The 24,707-nt window shown below is 40.4% G+C and overlaps 1 long non-coding RNA gene across 3 annotated transcripts in view; it reads left to right on the top strand.

The window, feature by feature from the left end:
* The window catches only part of LOC105373760 (uncharacterized), a 101,257-nt gene extending 78,713 nt beyond the window's left edge, over positions 1-22,544 (top strand). For all 3 annotated transcript variants that reach the window (XR_001739795.1, XR_001739796.1, XR_923622.2), the window contains 2 exons: positions 22,024-22,091; positions 22,321-22,544. This is a non-coding gene — a long non-coding RNA (uncharacterized LOC105373760). The remainder of the gene's footprint in view (positions 1-22,023; positions 22,092-22,320) is intronic.

Genomic DNA, 24,707 nt, shown 5'->3' with positions numbered 1-24,707 from the left:
TGCAGAATGCCTCAGGAACTGAACAGTGCGAAAGCAGTGCCAATGGAGAGAGCAGCCATTCTTGGCACTAAACAAACAACAATAGCACCTTTAAACAAAATTAAGAAAGACTCAATACCTTAGTGTATACCTCATGCAGCCATAGACAAAGACTGAGAACCTTGTGTAATATAGGTCCTGATATAGGATGTGAACATCCAGCATGACACTGCAGGAGACAAGAACATGTAGTAGGTGCGGAACAGGCAGAAGAGGGCTAGCAATCTTGGGTGACATAAGAAGAGGAAATGGTTGGGACTGGAACAGAGGCAACTCTCTTGGCCACGGTTGGTCAAGAAGAGGAATTATAAATTAATATAAGAAACACATAACGTGGCTACGAACTCTTTGACACTCTTCTCATGGAGAGATAGAGCTCTGTGTCCTCTCTTTTTAAATCTGGGCAGACTTGTGACTGCTTTGCCCAAAAAAGCATGATGGAAGTGATGCCATGAGGCTGTTACTGAGGCTGGATCACAAGACCATGCAGCTTCTGCCTTATCACTCTTCAGCCCTGAGATTCCAGGTAAGAAGTCCGACTACCTTAAGGCTGCCATACTAGAAGGGCTGCATAGAAATGCTCTGGTGATAGTTCTGGCTAAGTCCAACTTTACAACAATCTGTCTTCCCTACAAGGTGTCAGACATGTGATTGAGGCCATTGGCCATCTGCCAGCTGCATACAGCAGAGTGATCACCATCAACATTTTGTGGAACGATGTGGGCTCATCAGCTGAGCCTAGTCCAAATTCCTGACAGGCAACATCATATGACATAATAAAATGGTAGTTGTTTTGAACCATTGGGTTTTAGAATAATTTGTTCCATAGCAATAGATAAGTGGAACCCCTGAGGATAGAAGTCATAGTTTATGGACCATTCCCACTCATTGGCCTGGTGGAATAATTGCATGTGGAAGTTTGGAGTGAGATGTAGAACTTCAAGGGTTTCCTTCATAAGTGGGATTGTGAGATTTCAGAATATCTTAATGTGCAGTTTTATTGAATGACATTGGCTATGTGGGAAAGTAGTCTGCCCGAGAAAGGAATGAGTAGTGAAAGTAGAGACTCAAGTACTGGGCTAGATCTTTGTGGTTTGGACTCTACCTTTAGTTCTCTTACTGATACACTGTCAGAACTTGGGCAAATCTTGCAACCTTGATAAAGTTTGGTCATAATATCTTTCCTACCTACCACATAGGGAAGGAGATGTGGTGTTGAGGAAAACACTATATGAAAGCAATTTTAAAAATGTGAAGTACTATGTAAATGTATAACTTCTCCATTCATTCATTGAGTTGCATTTATACTGCTGTTTAGCACTTATCACATTGTATTGTAATCAGATGAATGCATTCACCTCTTCCCTACTCCTTGTACTTAGAATAGTACAGATCTCATAGTAGGTGCTTATAAATATTTATTGAAAAATGGTTTCTTAGAATTAACACTAGATAAGGAAGACTGGAGAAAATTTAGCTAGAGACTAGTGCAGAATTTTACAAATAATGTTTGTAGTATAAAAGATGTTAGAGTAAATCTATTGTCATTTATCTTAATTTTCTAACGCACTCAATAGAATACCACATATTTGACCATGACAAATCTTAGTAAAAAGCCAGATGGGGGATGTAATCCAGTGGTTGTGGTGGGTACAGTACTTACCAGATCTGCTTTAAACTGCCAAGAAACTTGGTAGGAGAGGAGAAAGGGATTAGATAAAGATGGATCCCATTTCAATGATTAATGAATACAGCATTGTCCAGAAAGTTTATGACTTTGGAAATCAACTTGCTAGAAACTTTGAGTGTCCTCTACTGGCAAAGAAATGCCTGGGATGCTCTGAAGAGTTACATAGAAAGTTCATGGGCCAGCGCTGCCTTAGTTCAACTAAACAATCACCGTGAATCTCCTCTGTGGAGTACAGACACGCCAGGGACATGGTCTCTTACTTTGGGGAGGTTACAGTCTATTAATAGTGCAGGGACATTGCTTTCAAGTTGTCTGCAAACTTAGATTGTGAAAGAGTGTTTTTGATACTCTTCTTCCTTCAGCCAGTGCTTGCTTCCTTCTAGGATTTGTGAAATCTGCTTATAACGACAGAAAGCTATTGTGAAGCTATAGGGTTGGGGAGATTCTTTACATTTCATTTTCTTTAATCTTTTTTTGGTGTTCAGTTCCTGCTCTACAAAGTAGGGATAATAGTTTCTTTACTGTGTTGGGAATAATTAAAACATTTTAAGAATGCATCTAGAACCTTCCTGGAATGGCAGTCAGGCAATAAATGTCCTTCCTCAGTCTCCCTTTCCCCCCCACCTAAAATATAAAAGGGTTCTGTTTGTCCATATGTCCTATAACTCATGCAGACCTCACAAAGGTGGTGGGTACATTTCTGCGATTTGGCCCAGCTCCTTCCCTCTCTGCAGAAGTGGGCTGGTGGGTGAGGAGAATGGTCACTTGTGTAGAAAGATGGAAGGGTGGACTCCTCATCTCCAAGTAGGTTTACCTTTGCTGATCCCTGAAATTCCATTAGAAATTGATTTATGGGAAGTACTGGGTTTTAAGAAACTCTCTACTAAAATCCAAGATTTTGCCAGATGAGGTGGCTCGTGTCTGTAATTCCAGCATTTTGGGAGGCCCAGGTGGGAGGATCACTTGAGCCCAGGAGCTTGAGACCAGCATGGGCAACACAGTGAGACCCCCATCTCTCCAAAAAAAGTAGCCAGGTGTGGTGGCACACACCTGTGGTCCCAGCTACTTGGAGGGCTGAGGTGGGAGGATTGCTTGAGCCCAGGAGGTCAAGGCTGCAGTGAGTCATGATCATGCTACTGGACTCCAGCCTGGGTGACAGAGCAAAACTGTCTCAAAAACAAACAAACAAGCAAACAAACAAAACAACAACAACAAAATTCCAAGATTCCTTCATACTAGGGGGCAGTGTAGTGCAGTGAAAATGGGAGTAAGCTTTAAGCTACAGAGACCTGAGTTTAAACCCCCAAATCTTCGACTTTGTTGCCCTGAACAAGTTATTTAACCTCTCTGAGCTTTAATTGCTCCATTCATAAAATGCTTTGGAGGGTTGTTGTAAAGTGTACAAATGATATATGCAAAATGGTAGACAGTCAAGGAATAGTGATTATTACTCATGAGCCATCACGACAGGTAACACTAACTAAAGCTACTGCAGAGTGGGTACCTTGGGAAGGAAGGGACAGCCAGAAGAGTAAAGGGGCCAAAGGGAAAGGGGAGCAGGCCTTTTAAATATTGCCTCCATCACAATTTGTCTTGAGCGGGGTATCCATGAACTTGGATGGGAAAAAAACTTGTCTTTATTTTCACTGAACTCCAACTGAAATTTAACATCACTTTTTATGATGTATACAAGCAACAAGCCCCAGTAATATCAACGATATTTGTGAATTTGTCACCAAATTATAGATATGTTCATATAACATTATAATGGTTGCAGATATTTCAAAATATCATTTATACCAATCACTACTTTAAAATTGTGATAGTTGTTACTCCTGCCACTGACACTTGCTATTTAATGTTACTGAAAAAGCACATGCATTACTATGCACCAGAATGTTTTAGAAAATATTTTGATAAGAGTATATCAAGATAATTAGCTCCTTTTGCAATCCTATTCATTTGTTTTACATACTCTGAGAAGGGGTCCATAGGATTCCCCTGACTACCAAGGGGGCCATGCACAAAATTAAAACACTTTTGTCTAGAGCAAGAACCAGCTGGGTAGTGTAGCTACCAAGAGTCACTGGGGAGTTTGTCTCCTTTTCTGAGGGTTGCTGGTAAAAATTGAAACATTTACCACTGTGGCCTTCCATTACTCAAGCAAATGGAAAGGGAGATATCTGTATATTGATATCTATTCCTATGTGCTTTTCTCTTCTGATTTTCACACCCAGAAGTGGTGATTGTGGACAAAAAAGAGAATTGTATTAATGGTATTCATTACAAACAGAAAGTTAAGAAGATAGGTTGTTACTCTGTCTGACCTTGAATAACATATTTATTTCTTACCTGTGGGAAGGAAATACTAAATTAATCCATTGAGGGAAATGGGAACAAAACCAGTTTATTATTTTTTTCTGAATAAGTTGAGATGTTCAGCCTGTTTGTTGTAGCCCCCTCCTCTGTAAGGTGGTTGAGATGTTTGGGAGGTTAGGAGAGTGGGGGATAGGGCTGGATACAGAGAGAGGGAGAAAGAGAAGAGGCCAAGGAATTTCACAGGCAGTTTGACTTGACAAGAATTAATTAGACTTGTGACTTCAGACTTTTCTCATGTATTCCATAAAATAATTTTGAAAGAGTCTTTCCGAGTTGACATCTAAGTATTTTTTATCATAAATTTAAATAGTTGCAAAGTGTACATTAGATGATGTATCCTTTAGATATATCCATGATTAAAGTATATTTTCATCTGAACATTGGAGCTGCAGCTTTAGCTCATTAAATTCAAGGAGAGTGTGCATCATATAAATTAATTGGCAAAGCTAGTCCTTATTGTCAAGCCATTCTGCCAATTTGGACTCACTTTCTGTCAGAAAAAATCTTATTACATTTTTAAAACTCAAATAAAGGTATTAGAACATGGCCTTTTGGAACCTTCTCGCGTCTGAATTCTAGTTCTAAGAAATGAAAGAAGGGAACGAGGGAGACAGGGAAGGAAGAAGAAAGGAAGGATATTGGTGCAGAGGGTTGTCATGACTTTTTTGCCTCTCTTCAATATCCATATTTCCTTCTGAAGCCCCCTTGCTTTTTTCTCTGAGGACTCTCCCTCCAGAGGGAGCCATGGAGGTTTTTGCACCCCAGGAAAATGGTACCTCAGTCAGACTGTGGTGGCTGAAGACTGAGGTGGATATTAATTTTTTTTTTTTTTTTTTTTTTTACGAAGAAGGAAAAGGAATATTGGGGAAAAAGTATTTGTGGCACAATCTTAGGCAGATTAATTGCAGGAAAGAAATTTGCTGAAATGGAAGATTTGGCGATTGATTCTGCCCATGTGCTACTTGCAAAGTCTTAATGCTTCAAGGCATGTGTACCTGTACCCCTGTTTGAAGACCCCTGAGCTAGTTCAACCCCATCATGCTTATTTCAGTTTGCCCTAATTCATCTTAAATTCATGAATTAAGTGGCAGAGACCAGAACAATCTCCTGGTCCTGAGCTCTTTCCACTACTACATCCACCACTGTCCCAGGTGGCCCGCGGCCATCAGAGCTGAGGTGGGTGGGTCGGTTGAAGCACTGTGATCATGTGGCATTCACCAAGTTCAGTAGATTATTACTATTATTTTTCTTTGTAAATCCCACATTGTTAATCATCCTTTTTTGTTTCAAAAAACATCAATGTCCTGCCATATTTTTCTTTCTTTCTGAAAAAAACAAAAACAAAAACAAAAAAACACTGCCTTTGTTCCCGTAGCCTCACTGGGAAGGAGGGGACTACAGCTTCTCATCTCCACGTAGTCCTTGACACAGAGCAGCAGCGTGGAGCAAGCACCTCTTTTGAAACACAGAAGTCATTTATGTTTGGCACGCTCAGAGGGAGAAAAGCTGAACAAATAGATAGATTTCTTCAAGTCATGTTTCCACACCCCAGTGGAGTGGGAAGGGGGTGCACCATCAGTACAAGATTGTTGGGCCAATTGCATTTTCCCCCCACAGGCACACATTTGCATGGAAATTGCTGCTCTATGTTGTCAGGACTCTTTTAAACATTTCACCCAAAGAATTATGCCCAACTGGGGAGTTTGCCCTCTGGGCTGTATCTCTGTTGGACCAGGAAAGTGAAATTCCTCCATGAGAAAGGACTTGCCTTCAAGTCTTCAGCTTAAGGAATTACCAGCATGAGACTGCAGTAGATTTTATCTGTCTCCAGAGTTGCCTGTTTAAATATGGTGAATGCTGAGAGGTTGGGGAAGGTGGGTTAGGGTTTTGATCTTGTCTTAATGACTGGAGGAAGGTTAAAGTACTTCCCTAAATTCTTTTTTTTTTTTTAATTTTACTTTAAGTTCCAGGATACATGTGCAGAATGTGCAGGTTTGTTACATCGGTATATGTGTGCCATGGTGGTTTGCTGCACCTATCAACCCATCACCTAGGTTTTAAGCCCCACATGCATTAGCTATTTGTCCTGATGTTCTTCCTCCCCTTTCCCCCACACCCCCGACAGGCTCCAGTGTGTGTTGTTCCCCTCCCTGTGTCCATGTGTTCTCACTGTTCAACTCCCACTTATGAGTGAGAACATGTGGTATTTGGTTTTCTGTTCCTGTGTTAGTTTGCTGAGGATAATGGCTTCTAGCTTCATCCATGTCCCTGCAAAGGACATGATCTCATTCCTTTTTATGGCTGCATAGTATTCCATGGTGTATATGCACCACATTTTCTTTATCCAATCTATCACTGATGGGCATTTGTGTTGGTTCCATGTCTTTGCTATTGTGAATAGTGCTGCAGTAAACAGATGTGTGCATGTATCTTTATAATAGAATGATTTATATTCCTTTGGGTATATACCCAGTAATGGGATTGCTGGGTCAAATGGTATTTCTTGTTCTAGATCCTTGAGGAATTTCCACACTGTCTTCCACAGTGATTGAACTAACTTCCCTAAATTCTTACTCTCCTGCCTTGGTGGGCACATGCACTGGCTGAGCTCCAGGCAAAATAGTGCATAACCACCTGCTTCACCCCCTCTGTGGGGCCTTATACCTGCTTCAGGGGCCCCATGTCTTTTGTTTCTCCCACAATCAAGCTTGCTTTCAGGGACATGCCTGACATCAGTAGTTGCCCTTCTGTATGGCCTTTAGTGTGTGGAAGCTTTTCCCAGGACAGAGACTCCTGCACCTCTGTGGTGGAATGAAGAGGTTGGCCTGAGGTTTCAGTCATAGTGAACAGGTGGGGATGTTTTAAGTTTTTATTTTATTGTATTACTTGGGTGCGTCTCATTATATAGGCAACTGCCTACTCTCTGTAGCTGTAAGATTAGCCCTATTTTTGACATCCTAGCCCTGTGAAATGGCCAAAAATTGTGACAGACCCAAAAAATGAGGGCTGCACATGCCTTAGTGCAGGTGGAGAGTTGCATTACTGAGGTGCTGCATAAAGAGCTGCACCGTTCTCACGGAGAGCTCCTGATCACAGCAGGGCTGAAGGGACAGAACCACCAGGAGGCCAAGGAAGCCCCAGGCACCACTGTGGTCCAGCTCAGAAGAGAGACTTCTGAGGTGTTAACAGCTTTATATTTGCAGAGAGGAGCTGGGGGCATGAAGAAAGTGGAGTGGTTGAACAGGGGGCGCTGACAGGGCTCTTCACTTCAAGAACTTAAAGAGAAAAGACAGCAGACAGCATATGTATGAGGTGCCATCCAATAGGAATAAAAAATAAACTCAATTCAATCATGAGCATTTGAAATATTAATACTTATAAAGTGCCCATAGGGATAGAGGAGTCTACTGGGTACCTTTTAATGCAAGATTTGAAAGCTTTACTCATTTTGATTTTTCATAAGTTGCTTTGTTTAATTTGGGGATCAGGTCTTTTTATATCATCATTATAATGGAAATTTGACACGAGGACAGCATTAGAGGAGGGAGTGAGGGTGCGGGCTGAAGGAATTAGGATGACATGAGTCAGAACAGAAGAGAGGCAGAGGAAAAGCCAAGGGGAGGGGACAGAGGCTTGAGAGAGAGCACCATGTAATGGAGCAATGGAGTGACAGGAAAGGAGCAGCTGCCGCCATCTTCAGGGCTGAAGGTGGGAGTTGCAAACTGGCATCTATAGGTCCTATCTGCAGGCCCATAGTCAAGGGCATGTGTAACTTAACTCATATAATTTAAAAACACATTAAAATTGTCCAATTATGTTTAAAAACTCAGTGACTTTACACAAAAATTTGGGTTTCTGAGTTCTGTGGGAAAATCAGAGGAGCTGGCAACACTGGCCACCATCCCACGTGGTAATAATCTGCTTAGGCAGAGAGGTGGCATAGGGGGTGGAGGGCAGGAACACTACAGTTTCCACGTGCTCTCCTGATTGCTTCACACCCAGCCACCTCACTCAGTTACGTCACCTGCTCTGCCTGTATGGACACTTAGTTTGTAAGCTTTGGACTCAGCCCATCTTGGCCTGGGGAAGGGAGGCTGGCCCATTGCCTGGCTTCCTGAGGGAACTGCTGGTCCATACTGATGCTCTTGTTGACTCCTCAGAGTAAGCCTCTGCTGGTTGATGGAATCCAGATCCTGCTACCTCCAAATATGGTACCTTGGTGTTTAAGAAATCAGCAGAAGCACCTCACCTTCCCTTTGCCATTTTCCCTTGAAGCAGCTCATAAAGCCTCATTTTAGATGGACCCTCCCTATATCCAGAGGAAAGGAACATCCTTATCCTCAAAGACACAGAGGAAAATCTGAACAAGCAGGCCTTGCTAAATTCCCCCCAGTTTATTACCATTAGATCGTACCTCCTTTGTCTAATCATATACTTCTCTACCACCATCCACTCTTCTTCAAACCAAAGCATAAAAACATCCAGGTTTATCTGTTTCTTTGGGTCTTCATTTCCTTATGAAGGCTCCTATGTCACATAAAACTTATTAAATAAATCTGGTTGTTTTTCTTTTGTTATTCTGTCTTGTGCTATAGGTGCCTCAGCTATGAGCCTAGTGATGAGTACGGAAATAAATCCTTCTTCTCCTACAAGTACATGTCACAGTGTGGTGTAAGGAAAGCTAGAAAGATGTGTTGTAACATCAGGAAGGGCCCATGTAGTTGGCCCAAGCTGTGCTGGACATGCTTAATATCAGAAATTGGAAGTGGTGCTTAAGGGAAAGGAGTCTGACAAACTTAGACATAAATCACTGAAATAATGATTTTTAAAATAATCAAATGTATTAATAGAGCTACGGGAAGAGTAATTGTCCTGTATTTTATATCATTCCAGAAGTACTAGAAAAGTAAATATGTATGTCAATTATATATAATAGTAATCCAGAAAAATCATGTGTCTAAGAAATGCATCTAAGAATTCACAGATGTGATGAGGTGAAAATTCAGCCCCACATGTCTTGTTTACTAAGATGTTTTATTTTTATATTCATGGTGCTATGAATTTCACGCTTTGGCATTGTTATTGTTTTAATTGAACATATTCCTGTACCTCTGCATAACAAGTGATTTAGTCTCATCTTATAGCAGGGGCTGTGGACGTGTGTTTTCCTTATAATGGGATAGTAGGCATTATGGGCACTAAGATTAGCCTGCCCAGGATCTGAATTCAAATCCTGTTTTTGCAATTTATGACTTGTTAATCTTGGGTATATTACCTAAATTCTGTAAGCTAATTCCTAAAATGAAGATAATAATATATAACACATTGGGCTGCTGTGGGGATTAAAGGATACATATGTAAGGCACACAGTTTAAATAGGTACAGGACCTAGTCTCAATAAACAGTGGCTTTTATTATAATGGTGGTGATTTGTATTGCTCTTTCTGAAACTGCTTTTAGAAGGTCTCAGATTCTCTGGGTCAGACTAATTAAGAACCTATCAAGCTGTGTGGCATCTCGATAAACTGTGGGCAAAAAACGCAGATACATGATTGCTATCACCTTTTCATTCTCTCAACACCATCTTGTCTTTGCAAAACATCCATAAAACTTGTGTTTGCTGAGGAATCCCAGTGGGTAAAAACAGTGAAGAGAAAGGTTAAAATGGATGGTTAGCAACAGGTATGAAATAACAAAATAGAGAGAGAGTGAGAGAGAGAGAGAGAGAGAGAGCCTCCTTACAATCTTCAGAGAGCGCCTGGTGGAGAAGGAATTTACCTCTAGGCAGGAGAGAGTTGAGATGCTTGGGCTTCATGCTGGGGTTTTGCTGATTGTGCTAGGGGAGCAATGGCTTCAATGCCTAACTGTGGTTTGACCTTCTGCCACAGCCTAGAGGCTAAAGGAGCATAATTAAGCTACGAGCAAGCAAGCAAACAAACATTACTATCTGAGGGAGCTTTGAAAGGATGAGGGGCTGGGAGTGGAGGGAGCTGCTCAGTGACCAGGGAAACAGCAAGCAGTGGCTGTTTGCAGGTTCAGCAGTGATGAGGAGAGAGTAGCAATGTGGAAACACAGTCCAAGCCAGTGACGCTTGGTGGAGTCAGCAGCCCTGCCCCAGAGCAGCTGGGAGTGGGGTCTACCTGGGTGAGAGAGCTTACCCTGGGCTTCTTGAAACTCTGAATGGAAATTTCTTTTAATGGTAGTTAACTTTCTTTTAATAAAACTTCTTTGTAATTCATGTGACCAATATACTTGCAAGTGGAGGTGTTGGTTCTGGCTCCCTGGGCTGTGTAAATTTCTTCAGGTTTCTGAATGGCACTCAGAACATTAAATGCTGACCTGATCTGTGGAAAGGTGCCCTGAGAACCAAGTGCAAGCATTAGAGGAGGTGTGCTTTTGAGATTTGCATACGTGCAGAGACGACTCCTGCCTGAGAGTTCCGATGAGCGCCAGTACCTGGGCCAAACTGAAAGAAAAGAATATAAACGAATATATTTAAGAAACTCCTCCCCCTTCCCCATCTTAGAAGCAAGTTAAGTGCCTCAAATTCAGACGTGGTGATCCAAAGCATGACTTCTGTGCCAGTGTCTGCAAGTGGTCGTGGTCCCAGCTGTGCTAGAGATTGTTGGTTCACCCTTGCATATTCACTGTCCACACTTGCCCACCCTGCTCTGTGCTCTGAGAGGCTGTCTTGCACAGTGCATCAGTTCAGCTCCTCCCCTCCCCTCTGTTGCATCTGGCAACAGAATGCAGTGAAGAGAATCAGCAAGATAATTTGTGGTGTTTATACCTATGCTCCCTCACTTCCTGGCCATGTGCGGGCATTGACTGTGTTCCTCATGCAAGGCCATGGCTTCTGTCTGGTGGCCATCTCCTACAGCTACAGCTATAAACAACTTTCTGGGGAGAAGGTGGCTGCCCGTTTCTGCCCATCTGTCCTTCCTGCTATCTGGTTCTAGCTCCAGAGTACATTATTGTCTAGGTTGCCTTTAATTCTGCCTCTCCATTGAAAATAGTCTCTTCCTTTTGCTTCTGGAATTGCTCTCCCCTTGGTCTGATTGGATACTGTCATCCTGAGGGCCAAACCAGTGCACACCTCTGCCCCTACCCTTCCCTGGACCATCCCCCAGCTATCTTCTCCTGGTCTATCTTTTTCCATCCAGTCAATCCCCTGCCCTCATCTTACCTTGTCTTAGTGAGTCATAGATGGTGCTGCCCACTTCTCTCTGGTGTCAGCCGGAGCTGTGGTGGAGAGCTGGCTTCCAGAGGCTTCCAGTTGAGTAACTCAGGCAGAATGAGAGCTTTGATACCACAAAAATTGACCTCTGGAACTTCCCTTGAGTTTGGAATGAAGATTTATGAGATGAAGCCGAAGAGTTTAACAATCTGTCTAAAAAATCTGAAGCATTTGCCAGAAAGCACATAACCTCGATTTGGTATAATACTACTTGTTTCTGAAATTTGTGGGACTTTCTGAAATTTTTCCTAAAATTTGTGGAACTGAATAAAAATATCCAATGAATATAAGTTTATAAATATGTATATATAACAATCCATGATGGTATACCATAATGTACATTTTCTCCTTATTCCAAGTATGATTGTGTGCTCTTAGCCAATGAAAGCTAGCGGATGACTGTACTGTACCCTCTCAGCTAAGGGGCATTAGTTCACCATGCTGTAAATACAGTTGGCAATGAACCCTTTACCTCTCTATCTTGAGTGGAGCATGTTCTGCAATGTGGGTGTTTACTTCCTGTCATTTAATCTAAAGAATACTTTTAGTGGCTGACATAATGCCACTAGAGGATAGTGCTGGACTTGCTGCAATGAAATACAAGAAAAATTAGACCCTGGGTGTTTGTGATTGGAGGAAATTTCAAGCAAGTGGTAGAGGAAAGAGCAGGCTGGGAAGGACAGTCAATTAGGAATGGGTGGGAGAACTTTGACATCTTGAAGAGCCTCACAATCTTCCCTGAAGCCTGAGAGTATTTTCCAGAATAGTTGGCATGGTTGATGGAAGAAACAAGGCAGGAGACCTGTCATGACTTGAAGGGAGTCAAAGAGAACCAGGGAGGTTTTGTCCGTGGATAATGGCATTGGTGCTAACGCGCAATGTCATAGGTCTGCAAAGAGTCTATAAGCACCCAGTTCAGCAGCATGCCTGTTTCCAGCAGTGTACCCACCCTTTGCATTAGAAGAGCTCCAGGAGCCATTTCTTTTCTGCTCTTTGTAGCAGTTACCCTGAATATGCCCTGATAAATGAAACAAAGGGAAGAAAGAATTTCCATCTAGAGCTTTCCTAACAATGCTAGCTACAGCTTTGCAAAAGAGGCCAAAATAAGCAGCTGTCATGCATTCATCAAATTCAGGACTCTCCCAAGTATTAAATCAATCCTGTCAAAGCAGTTTTATTGTTGATGGATGAATGGATGGAAGGAGAAGCATTGCTTTAAAAGGGCTTGCCGTTTGGAGTAGAAAGCATGCTGGGAGGCCCAGTGGCTCAGTGTCGTTCTTTAGAGCCCAACAGTATCTACTGGGTAGGTTCCAGTTCTGTTGCTCCTGGGCTCACTTTGTTGAATTCTGCTACTTTTAGAATATTCTACTTTCCATGAACTTAAGATCAAACTCAGAATATTTCCATGATTCTGGTGGTTTGTAAGGAGCCCTGGTCATTCACTCAAAATCATTAATATTCAGTCCAGGTCTTGCCCCAGCTTAGTCTTTTGGTGACTGTAGCAGAAGGAATAGTATCTGGATCTAATTTTGTTATAATAAATTATCTTATTGCTTCTTTAATTAGCAACTTGACTCTTTAAATATGGGTGACACATGGACTGTCTCATCTTTGTCCATTATGTGGGTATTTCTTGGATTAGCTATAAAGCTGCTCAAAGAAGCCAAAGATTTGACCCCTGTACATATGTTAACCACAGAGGCATATTTTACTCAGATCTGAGAATGCTAGAAGATACTCCCCAACTCTCAGAAGATAGCTAGAAGTAAATGAGTTTAAATGTAAATAGACAAGAGAGAGGGTTTTTTTTTTTAAAAAAAAAAAGGAAAAATTGGTAACCACTAAAATCACCTACTTTGGAAAGGTATGGTTTCTCCTTCTAAAGACCTTTAAAAATAAGGATAGCTCTCTATTGTTCTGTGGAGTATTTAATTCATAGACATAAAGGAATGGGCTAGAGTAGGATTTTTCATTGTGTGCCCAGTGAGGGGCTTCTCAGGTTGGGGTGGAAGAGGGCCAAGTGAAGGGAGGGCCAAGCTGGTGGGACAGCACTGGCTCATCTCTGAGGCATGTGCTGCTAAACTTAGAAAAGAGATGCAATCTTCATCTCTTTGCTTATTTCCAAATCTTAAATTCAGACAAGAGATAATCAGGAAGCAAACATTTATGACTAAAAAACGTTGAGAAATTCGCTTTGAAATTAGAGCATTTCTTTTTTAGAAATTGTGCTTAAGAAAACTCTCATTCAGTTTTAGTCTATGACATTAGGGGTCTCATATAAAAAGGCTACCATGTGTACAGCTCATAGTGGGCACTTAATAAATGCTTGTTGAATGAATAGGTGCATAGGAGGAGAGCAGATACAACGAAACACATTTGGCTTATTTATTTCTTGAATGTTATTGGTGGAAGAAGCACTGAATATATTTGTTCTGTAGAAAAGGGGTCAGCCTAGTTTTTCTGGAAGGTCAACATAGTGAATTTTTTTGGCTTCATGGGACATACTATCAATGTCGCAACTACTCAGCTCTGCCATTATCATGAAAGCAACCACAGATAATATATAAGTGAATGGATATGGTTGTGTCCCAATAAAACTTTATTTACAAAAGCAGCATGCTGGATGTGGCTCATGGGCCATAGTTTGTTGATCACTGGAGTGGAGCACAGGTCTGATCAAAACTCTCAGTTTCAAGGCATATTGAAGTTCATCAATAAGAATATTAGGTGTGAGAATCATTATTTAATGGTGACTTATTGTTGGATCAACATTTTGTGTAGAGTGTTCTAGACTTTTATTTCAAAATAGCTGAATAGAAAACAACTGCATATATATGTTGGCAAATGTTCATTTCATTTTGTCATTTCAGCAAACTTTTCCTTTCTTCTCTTTAAACTCTTGTAATATACTTCTACATAATAAAATATTAGAAAAGTATTTTTTTCTCTTTCAGAGTGACAAGTTGTTTATGAAAAGTTTTGTGTGCTGTGAATGCAGGATTTTTACTCCTTAGAATTCAATCTTTTCATCTTAAGACATATATAATCTCCTTCCTTGGGAAGGAGCCAGCAATGATGAAAACAAATGAAGTCTGAGTGTTAATACTAGGTTATCCAACAGGACTAGATTCTAGCTGTTGAGCACATTTCTGGCAGAAGCCAAAATGGCTGACTCATAAATCAGCAAGGATTTTGTAAATGTCTCGTGTACTACAAAGCTACTCTATGGAAATCCTGACATATTTATTCTCATTCTCTCTTTGTTTCTTTCTCTGTCACTGTCTCTCTTGCTCATATATACACACCCCCCCCACACACACACCCCCGCCACAGGGTTCTGAATAATTACTGGCACTTTTTTCTTTTACTTAGCTTACATTTTATTATTGTGGCATTCCAGCACTTTTATTGACTATGATAAAACTGCATTAGTTCAAACCATTCCAAATTTGAGCTACTTTCTAAGAAGATTAGAACATTAATTGTTTTTAAATTGGAACAGTAAAAGGAAACAATCTTTATGCTGGGTAGACTTAAAATATAAGATTATCTCATTAACCTTATCTACAAAACCATTAGCACAGTAAAAAATAAAATAAGAAAAAAAACCTCCAGGACAATACAGCATTTCAGTGTACATTTTTTAAAGCAATCTACAGCTAACTAGGAATAAATTTCACTCAAGAAAATTCTTTTTTAAAAGAGTATCTCATAAGTAGCAAGTAGCTGATTATTATAAACTTTCAAGACTGTGTCTAGAAAGTGCCTAAAATCATTGCAAAATTTGGTCCTGGGATTTTCTGTGGCCTTAAGCAAATCTTTTAACTTTTACCTGCTCTTCCATTTGCCATGTGCGGTATCATTTTTAGAGTCACCAATTTAAGATGATAAGAAGTGGGAAGAGACCAACTTATCTGACCATACGCCTTCATTTTTATTTTATATTATTTTATTTTTACCAAGAATGTACCTGAAACTCATAAAATGACTCATTCATGCTCTCATATCTCAATGGAGCTTTGGGGGTTCAAAGGATCTTTTTCTATGCCAGCTTGGCCTGAGCTTTCCGAAGAAGATGGATTTCTTGGGGGAAGGCAGGCGGTCCACGCAGAAGGCATGAGATTAGTCATTCAGTAGGTCTCATCAGTTTCCCTGTGGTTCCATTGTCCCTGAAGTCCTCTCTAAGTTTAGCCCTCTACTACTGGCAGAGCTGTTGACAATGGGGAGGTTCTGTCATGGCTTGTACACTGGGGACTGGTGCCCTGATTTTCCTTAGTAATCCTTCTCAACACCTCAGTCATCTCAAAGAAACAGAAGCCATTTTGGAAGCACCATTTTGGAAGCAGAGAGCAGCTCTTACCAGACACTGAACCTGCTGGCCCCCAGTCTTGGACTTCTCAATGTCCAGAACTGTGAGAAATACATTTCTGTTATTTGTAAATTGCCTGTTTTGTTATAGCAGCCCAAATAGACTGAGACAAATGTAAAAGACCTTTTAGATCTTATGGTGTCTAATGGGTCTCTATTGCACAGTAGCGTAGAGATAGACAATGGAGGTATAGAACATTGAATGACATCTATATTGATTTGAACACAGAGGAGACAGATACTAAACATCTCTAGAATAAAGGTTACAAGTAGGTTTTAACATGCTTACCAATTGTTTTTGATTGGTAAGGGCTGCTGGGAGTATGGTGCTGAGATAGATTCTTATGGATCAGAATGAAAGAGCTTGTGAGCAATTTATATCTGCCACAGACACAAGAGGAGGGTGGTGGCCACTGGTTATGTATTGGTTATCACTGATTTAGAAGAATCTTCCAAGTCTGCTTTTCATTTAATACAACTAAAAGTGAAGGTCAAGGGCAAAAGTAACATAGGACATACTAAAGAAGATATAAGAACAAAAGTTGGTTTGAAGACAAGTTTCTTTAATCAGCATCTTTCCTTGTGATTTGGGTTTTATAACAATAGTATGTAAACAAAACTTTCTATAGGTTGGGATTTTTAGTTGATTGAATTCTTAATAAGTGTATATTAGTATTTCTGAGTCTTGTCTGATATTTATCAGATCAAAGTGACTGGAAATGTATTCCAGACCAAAATTATCCAGAATAGATCTCTTTTCACTGTTCGCGATTGAGTTTTCCAGGAACTCAGTTAAGACTCCTCTGAAGGAATACTTCACGGAATGAGGGATGGCCATGGCCCCACTTTCTGGGAGACAACCTGTCAGATGTGTGGAGAGACCCAGTCCCAATCCTCCTTCTTCTCTTACTAGATCTGCTGTTATTTGATGCCTTGGGCTAATCACATGGCTTCAGTGAGCCTCACTTGTAAGGTGGGGATACTCTTATCTACCTGAAGGGATTATGAAGATGAAAGGAAGAATCTTAGATTTACTCTTTCCTAGTGGTTTGGGACAAGAGGAAAATTACTTCATTTATCAGTGTCTCAGTTCCTCATCTATAAAATGGGGATAATAAAATAGTATCTACCTCATAGGGTGGTTGTGAAGAATAAGTTAATATATGTGAAACAGCAATGCCAAGCACACGGTATGCATTCAGTACATGTTAGCAACTTATTAGTATTATTATTATTACTACATAAAACTTTTGCAAGAAAGGAGTATATTAAAGCAAATAATTATTTATTAGCACCTAAATTAGACATGTTAGAATTGGGCTTAAGCACATTTCTCATGGTGTGGGAATTCATTAATACTTGGTAGAAAGGATTTGTTCCAAATACTACATCCTCTGTTTTCATTTTTTGTCTTGCGTTTTACCGTAGTTTTTTCCCCCTTCTTATCTTCTATTTCTCTTCAATTTTCTGCAAAATGAAAAGTGATCATGAAGTGGGAAAACGTATATTCTTTCAACTTCTCAGAAAAAAGAGGCTATAAAACTGCAAGGTGATAATGCTAACAATAAAAATGATATGTAGTCAAATCTGAAAGCTACAAAAACAAACTTAGCTTGGCTCTGTTTTTGGTGTGGTCAATGAAAGCCTCCAAGTTTTTCTGTAGTTTGCAGGATGCAGGGGTTATTCAGGTGGTGAGGCATCCCCACAGTTCCACAAAATTGTTGGGGGTGGAGGAGGACTTTTACAAATGTTTCTGTCCCATGCATCAGTAAGTTTGAAATCACACAGAGGTTTATTAGATAAATAGATAAAAAGTGTTTTCAACTGTGAGTGATGTACTGGCTGAGTCTAATACTACACATACAAACTATTGGGACAACTGTTTTAAGAGTGGGTGTTATAAAGGCAGACAATGGTAAGGATGTGGGTTATGTGTTACTGAGACTACTGGAAAGTGACTAAGAGGCATTTGGATAGATGTCCTACCAGTTCCTGGTGTGTGGCTTCTGCATAATTTACGTAGTTGGTTTTTTGGAGGAAGACACTTTAAGACACTTTGCCAGCTTTCTCTCAATAATGAATGGTTCTACATAGAGAAGAGGACTCTGAGACCACCAGACAGAGATTGGTACCCACCTCCACCTCCACCCCAACCCTATCTATCTATCTATCTATCTATCTATCTATCTATCCATCTATCTATCATCTATCACTTATTTATCATCCATCCATCCATCCATCCATCCATCCATCCGTGATTCATCCATCTGCCCATTATCTTAGAGTCAATTGAAATAAAAAGGGCTGTGTTACAGGAACTGTCAAGAATCTACGCTAAGTGAGGGGATACTAAGTGTCAATCAACATGAAGGATAAACTGGGAAATTGGTTTGAACAGTACACCAACAGTAATGGAGAAATTACTCATTTGCAAACTGAGAGTGTCCCTACTAAAGATATATGACATAACAGATAAGAGCAATACCCCAAATTACACTGGACTTGGGCAATAGTATACATATTTAAATCCCCCAAGAATGTGTTTATGCCCAAAAGAGCAGCAATGGCCTATTGAACCCATAATCTCCATGTTAAAGCGGCCCAGAGTGCACATTTACGCAGCAGAGCATGGCCTGACTTCAGTAGCAATGAGTTGTAGACTGAATCTCATTGAGAGCTACCAGGCACTTCCCCTTACTTGGTATAATAGCTCCAGAGGAACCCTTATACACTTAGGATCTTAGTGTAACAAGCGGGATGAAATGAATGCATCTCTGCTTTTAGTCTTACAAAGTCTTTTTTCTATTAAAGGCTTATTTCTAATGGCATTAAATAAACACAAAGATTTGCCACCTTTCAGAAGTCTAAATTCAAAATGAGAGTTAAAATCCATACTAACAATCCTATTCAGAATTGAGTCATGTTATGATATACCATATATCATAAATTGTCAAATATTGCTTTGGTTTGCAGACATAATTAATATAAGCTAGCCATTAATAGTATGATATATGATCCAGGAACCTTTAATATAACAAAAGCCAACTAATATTTATCTCTAATATGCTATAATCTTTACTCACATCACAAAGCATTAACAAAGGGTATATGCTTTAATGCTTTACTCTCGTGGGCTTATTTGAACTTTTTTTTCTGGTTTAATTAGCTTATTCATTTTAATTAAAGTACAGTGCAACATTTACATGGTGTTTAATCTGAAAGTTAATCCTGTTTTCTTAGAAGATTAAGTACAGTAATAAATATAAAATAATGGTGGCCGTATCTCATAGGACTGGCACTTTGACTATATGAACAACTTCTGCTGGAAATAGCAGAAACAGATTTTTCTCTAGAATTCTTTCCTTAAGCCACAAAATAGCTTTAGCCAATTAAGAGCTCCCACAAAAGCCAGACATGTGCCCCCATCCCTCCACCCCCACCCCATGGATGTTCACAACTTTTGAATCTGAGGCCAGACTCCAAAACCTCCTGCAGTGGCCCCACAGCTTGTATTTGTTTGCTATGGACTCCAATCCCCTAGAATGCTTCCTTCCCATGTTGAGTTCATCTTGACCAGGGGGTCTGACCTTTTCCTAGAAATGAGTATGCTTGTTGTCAGTGTTGTTTTCTAGCCTCACTCTTGTCTTAGCCCTTGGCAACTTCAATGCCTATGTGGACAACCTGTACAGTAGGCACCTTGTCTCTTAGTTGCCTGACCTCCACAGTGATGATGACTTTTCCTGCACTTTGACTTGGCCATTCACTTCCATGGTCACACTCTAGAATTGTCATTGCCAGAGACTGCCTTGCTCTGAAGTCACTTCCTCAAACTTGCCATTATTCAGCCACTACTTCTATTCTTCCCCACTTCCACTACAGCATTACTTCATTAAGAGCATCCATCCATCAACCTCTTCATCTCCTATCTTTATTTTCTTCCCAATTCACTTACATTTCATGTTCATTTAAATATCTTTCTTGCAGATACCCTCAGTTCCCTTGTCATATGCATTCTATAATAAAATGCCCATATTGGATTAATATAGGGCACTTTCCCTGTGTCTGTGCCCAAATTGAATTTTTCCCATCATCATTCCAACATGCTTTTGTATCTCTTATTTAAAACAGTTCTTCCTAACTCTACCTTCCCCTCAATCACCTCTTTCACAGTCAATTTTCTAAGAACTCTTGTATACACATTTATTTCACTTCCTCACCTTTTATTTGCTTTTGGGCTAACTCCAATTTGGTTTTCACCACCCTTCTTCACCTAAATTCATCTTGCTAAGGTTGTCAGTCACTTGGACATTATCAAATATAATTGACACTCTTCAGTTCACCTCCTATCTTGCTTCACAGCAGCATTGTCAGAGCTGTCAAGTCCTACATTTGAAATCCTTTTCTTTCTTGGCTTCAGAGACATCATGCTTAACTGGTTTGCTTCTACTTCTCTGGCCTTTCTTTCCAAGTCTGCCTTGGAGACTTCTCTTCTATCCAAACTCTAAATAGAATATCTCAGTGCTTGGTCCTTCATTCTCTTATTTTCTCAAATTCCTGGGAATTTTGAATTTTAAAGATTAAGATCCATCTACATGGAAAACACAGGTCCACGCAAAGACTTGTATGAATGTTCATAGCAGCTCCATTCACAGTAGGCCATAACTGGAAACAACCCAAGAGTCCATCCACAGGTAAATGGATAAACAAAGTAGTGTTATGTATACAATGGAATACTATTCGGCAATAAAAAGAATGAACTATTGGTGCATACAACACCATGGATAAACCTCAAATGCATTATGCTAAATGAAAGAAGGCTGACAGAAAGGAGCATGTACATACTATATGATTCCATTTATTTAAATTCTAGAATATGTAAGCTAATCTATAGTGGCAAAAGCTGATCAGCATTGTCGGAGGCTGGGGACGAAGGGAGGGATGGATTGCTAAGAAGTGCATTAAAAACAAACAAACAAAAACAAAAAACAACCACCACAAAACCCTTCAGGATTATGGAAGTGTTCTGTATCTTTATTGTGAGGTGGTTTCATAGGTGTATACATCAGTCAAAACTCATGAAATTGAACATATTAAGTGGGTGCAATTTATTGTAAGTTATACCTCAATAAAGTTGATTAAAATCTGTATGCTGGCAATTCTTGCATTTATGTCTTTAACATAGATCTCTCTTATGAGCTTCAGACACTGGATCTAACTATTCACTTGACATAGCCATTTTGATATTTCATAGGAATTTTGAGCTTAATAAGTCTAAAACTGAACCATGGATTTATTTTTCACAGGCTCTTTTTTTCTCACCTCAGTAAATTGCTGTCTCTAAGACACCTCAAAGTACAGTGGCTTAAATAAAATAGAGTTTATTTCTGTATCACAGGACAGTCTAGAGATGGGTGAGCCAGGGCTGGTAGGTGACTATCATCCTAACCCCTGGATTCCATTTCTGGGTTCCAGGAATGCTTCTGTTCTCATCCCAGACAGCAGAAGCAGCGAAAGGGTAGAAGTGCCTGCATGTTTCTTTTTAGAGGCATAACCCAGAAATGTTAAGTGGCCCTACTTCATAACAAGGGAGGCTAGGGACTGTTGTCTTTATGCAACCATGTACACTATTCAGCTAAAACTTCATGGTAGAAAGGGATAACTGATGTTGAGAGACAGGTCTTCTGGCTTTCTTTAGGATGTGTGGGGAATTGAGCAAATGTTTTTGTGGGACCCCTATCTATGCATTTTAATTAAAAATATATTATAAAATCCATGGGCCTCTGTGAAGTAAAGTGATTTGTCAGTGAAGACTTAGAAAAATGAGTATAGAAGAGATACTTACATATTTATATACTGTCCAGTCAGTGCATATGTTCAGGCATCTCTCATGTTCTTTATTATCAATGGCATTGTTTTTGGCTAATTTTGTATCTCCTATGCAAGAAAACTACAGCAACACTGCTATTACTCACAATGACATGGCTCTTCAGAACTTTTTGTATTGAAACAGTATAGATCTTCTCGTCACTGCAGTACCCTAATACCATTTATTTTAATGCTGGTTGTATCATTACTCATGATACGATATCATTTATCTACCTTGCCATCAGTGAATACTGGCTTCCAATGACTCTCTCAGAGATTGTTACTATGCTTCCTTGGTGGTGACTCTGTATGCTAGACTTACCCAGACTATGTAGAAACATGCAAATGATTATTTTCTTGTAGCTTTAAACCACCTATTCTTCAATTTATGGTATAAATGTAGAACAACACATCTCCCAAATGTGTCTTTTCTTCACCTCTTCAGGTTGGAATCTCTGCATTTGCAGAATGTGATCTCTTACAATGATGACTGCATCTCTGCAGGCTGCAGAGGTGAGGAACCCATGGGCAGAGTGAGAGGCGCAGTCCATTGCACAAGGAATGTCTGTCCTTCACCCAGCACAGCTTAAGACTGAGCTGAGAGAGTGTAACATTACCGCAGCCACCAGGGGCAAGAGAAGGCATCGTGTTGGGGAGCATGGTCTCTAAAGCCTTCAGAGGAGGTAGTCATGCCTCTAGCCTGAATGTGCTTGAGATGCTTTTCTTTTCTCCTTTGATGCAGGCCCGGGGACACATGCTTTCCTCTACTTGTAGAAGGAGGCACCAGACACCTCTTACCCTGGAGTTCTTTTCTCTAGAAGATAGCCTATACAGTGGGACATGGCGTCTTCAACCTCCTGACTCTAATCACCTTTGAAGATAAGCATCCAATCCCTTTACATTAAAGGTATGGGATTACAAGACAGACAAACAAAGGGAGACGCTACATGCTTCCAGAAAAATATTATGCAGTTCTCATAGTCATGATTCCTGGGCTAGGTACTATTCCTTTAGGGTATTTTAACTGGGCATCTCTTAAAATTCTTATTGTCAGTTTTAATTTCTAACAGTGGAATTTATCAAATCACTGGAAATACAGATGGCTTCTTCATTGCCTTCAGGGAGACTGTCAGGCCTGGACAGCCAGCCTTAGAAGAATCTTGGTTGTCATCTTATCTCCAGTGAGCTATTTGTAGTTCTGGGACTGCCGCGCTAGATTTTACCACTTTCCATTGGTGGTGGCCTCATACAGTTTTGAGTATAAAAGAGTCTGTAGATGTCAATGCAACCAGACTAATGAAATATATCATTTGGTACATTTTACAGTCATTCTGTCATGACCCCTCACAGCAACATCATGGAGTAATAATTGTTTTATCCATTTTAGAGATGAAAAAAATGAGATGTAGAAAAAGATAAATAATTTCCCAAAGTATGTCTGACTTCAGAAACCTCAATGTCTCTACCTCAGCTGTTCTCTCAAAGGGAAGGAACAAAATGCAGTTTATGTACCTTACCCTGATGCCTATAGAGAAACTGGTTTGGAGAAATTTTGACCAGCCAATGCCAAATTCTTGTCTCATAGGCCACTTGTTCTTGGAGGTTGTGAGCTGCAAAAGGAAATATACCTCCTTAGGAGATAAAGCTGGACACAGCCTGGCCATCTGTTCTCTTGGCAAGAGCTCACATAGGCTACCTTTATGGATGGGGAAATGGAGGAGGGCATGTCACCAGCCAACAGTGCTGCTGGCAGTGAGGCATGGAGACAGACGGACTTGAGGCAGACTGACTGCTGTCAACATCTTAGAGTCCAAGGAAGAGGCATCATGAGGACTGTACATCTTGCAGAAGAGGGATGCACTGGAGTCTTGGTGGCAGTGGTGGAAGTCTTAGCTCCAGTGGTGGAAGGAGATGCCTATTTGGCCAGCATTCCTGCTGGGTATTATGCTAAGTGCTGAGGTTAGAGTAATAGACAGGAGAGTATAGTGAGATAGAAAGACATTAAGTAAATATTAATGCACATAATTGTTTAATTATATTTGTAATAAACTCCCTGATGAAAGTAGGGTGTTTTTTGAGAACACATAATGGAGAAATCTAACTGAGTCTCTGTGTGGGGTGGTTTCAGAGGGCTCTTCTGAGAAGGTGGCATCTGTAATAACTCTATGAATTGTTTGCAACAGACTTTATAGATTACTCATCAAATATTCGTTTCCCTTCCCTCTTCCTTCATTAGAGGACCATCCCGTGCCTCCCTCTGCTTTTGCTTTTCAGGTGTCCACCTTCCTCTAGCCATGTGCTTCAAGGGAGGCAGTCCTGGGATAGGTGTCCTGATTGATCTGAGTCAATCATGGTGGTCTTAGTCCCTTGCAATTGATTGGTTTAAGCATGTGCTAGGTTAGAACATGTGATTGGTTAAGATATATTACAATTTTGGCCATTGAGACCCAAGGAAAGTCTATGATATGGCTTTTGGGAAAGGTTTCCTCACTCTTTGTAAGGAAGATGTGGCCCTTTCTGCCTCTCAATGTTGTCACATCTGATATCCTTGAGTGGAACTCACTTGAAGACAATTTCCATTCACCAAAGGCAGAGTAGAAAAATGGAAAGAATCTGGGTTCCTGCTGGCTTCCTTAACTGTAGATGTCAGCCGTGGAACATCCCTAGCTTTAGATTTTTAGATGTGGGCTGGGCGTGTTGGCTCACGCTTGTAATACCAGCGTGATATTACAAAGTGCTGGTATCACGCTTGTAATACCAGTACTTTGGCAGGCTGAGGCAAGAGGATCACTTGAGTCCAGGAGTTCAAGACCAGTCTGGGCAACAGAGTGAGACCTTGTCTCTACAAAAAATTTAAAAACTAGCCAGGCATGGTGGTTTGTGCCTGTAGTCCTAGCTACTCAGGAGTCTGAGGTGGGAGGACTGAGCCTGGGAGGCATCAGCCACAGTGAGCCAAGATCACACCACTGCACTCCAGCATGGGCAACAGTGAAATCCTGTCTCAACAAAAAAAAAAAAAAAAAAAAAGAAGAAGAAAGAAAGAAAGACTTTAAGATGTGTTCCTCATTGTGTGAGCCACTTAAGTTTGGGTTGCTGCCATGTGTACCTGAAAATATAAAAAGGGTTATC

This window comes from Homo sapiens, chromosome 2, assembly GCF_000001405.40.
Source record: "Homo sapiens chromosome 2, GRCh38.p14 Primary Assembly".
In the NCBI taxonomy this organism is placed as follows: Eukaryota; Metazoa; Chordata; class Mammalia; order Primates; family Hominidae; genus Homo; species Homo sapiens.
Note: the sequence above shows the minus strand (reverse complement) of the source record. Positions and strands in the feature narration are given on the sequence as shown.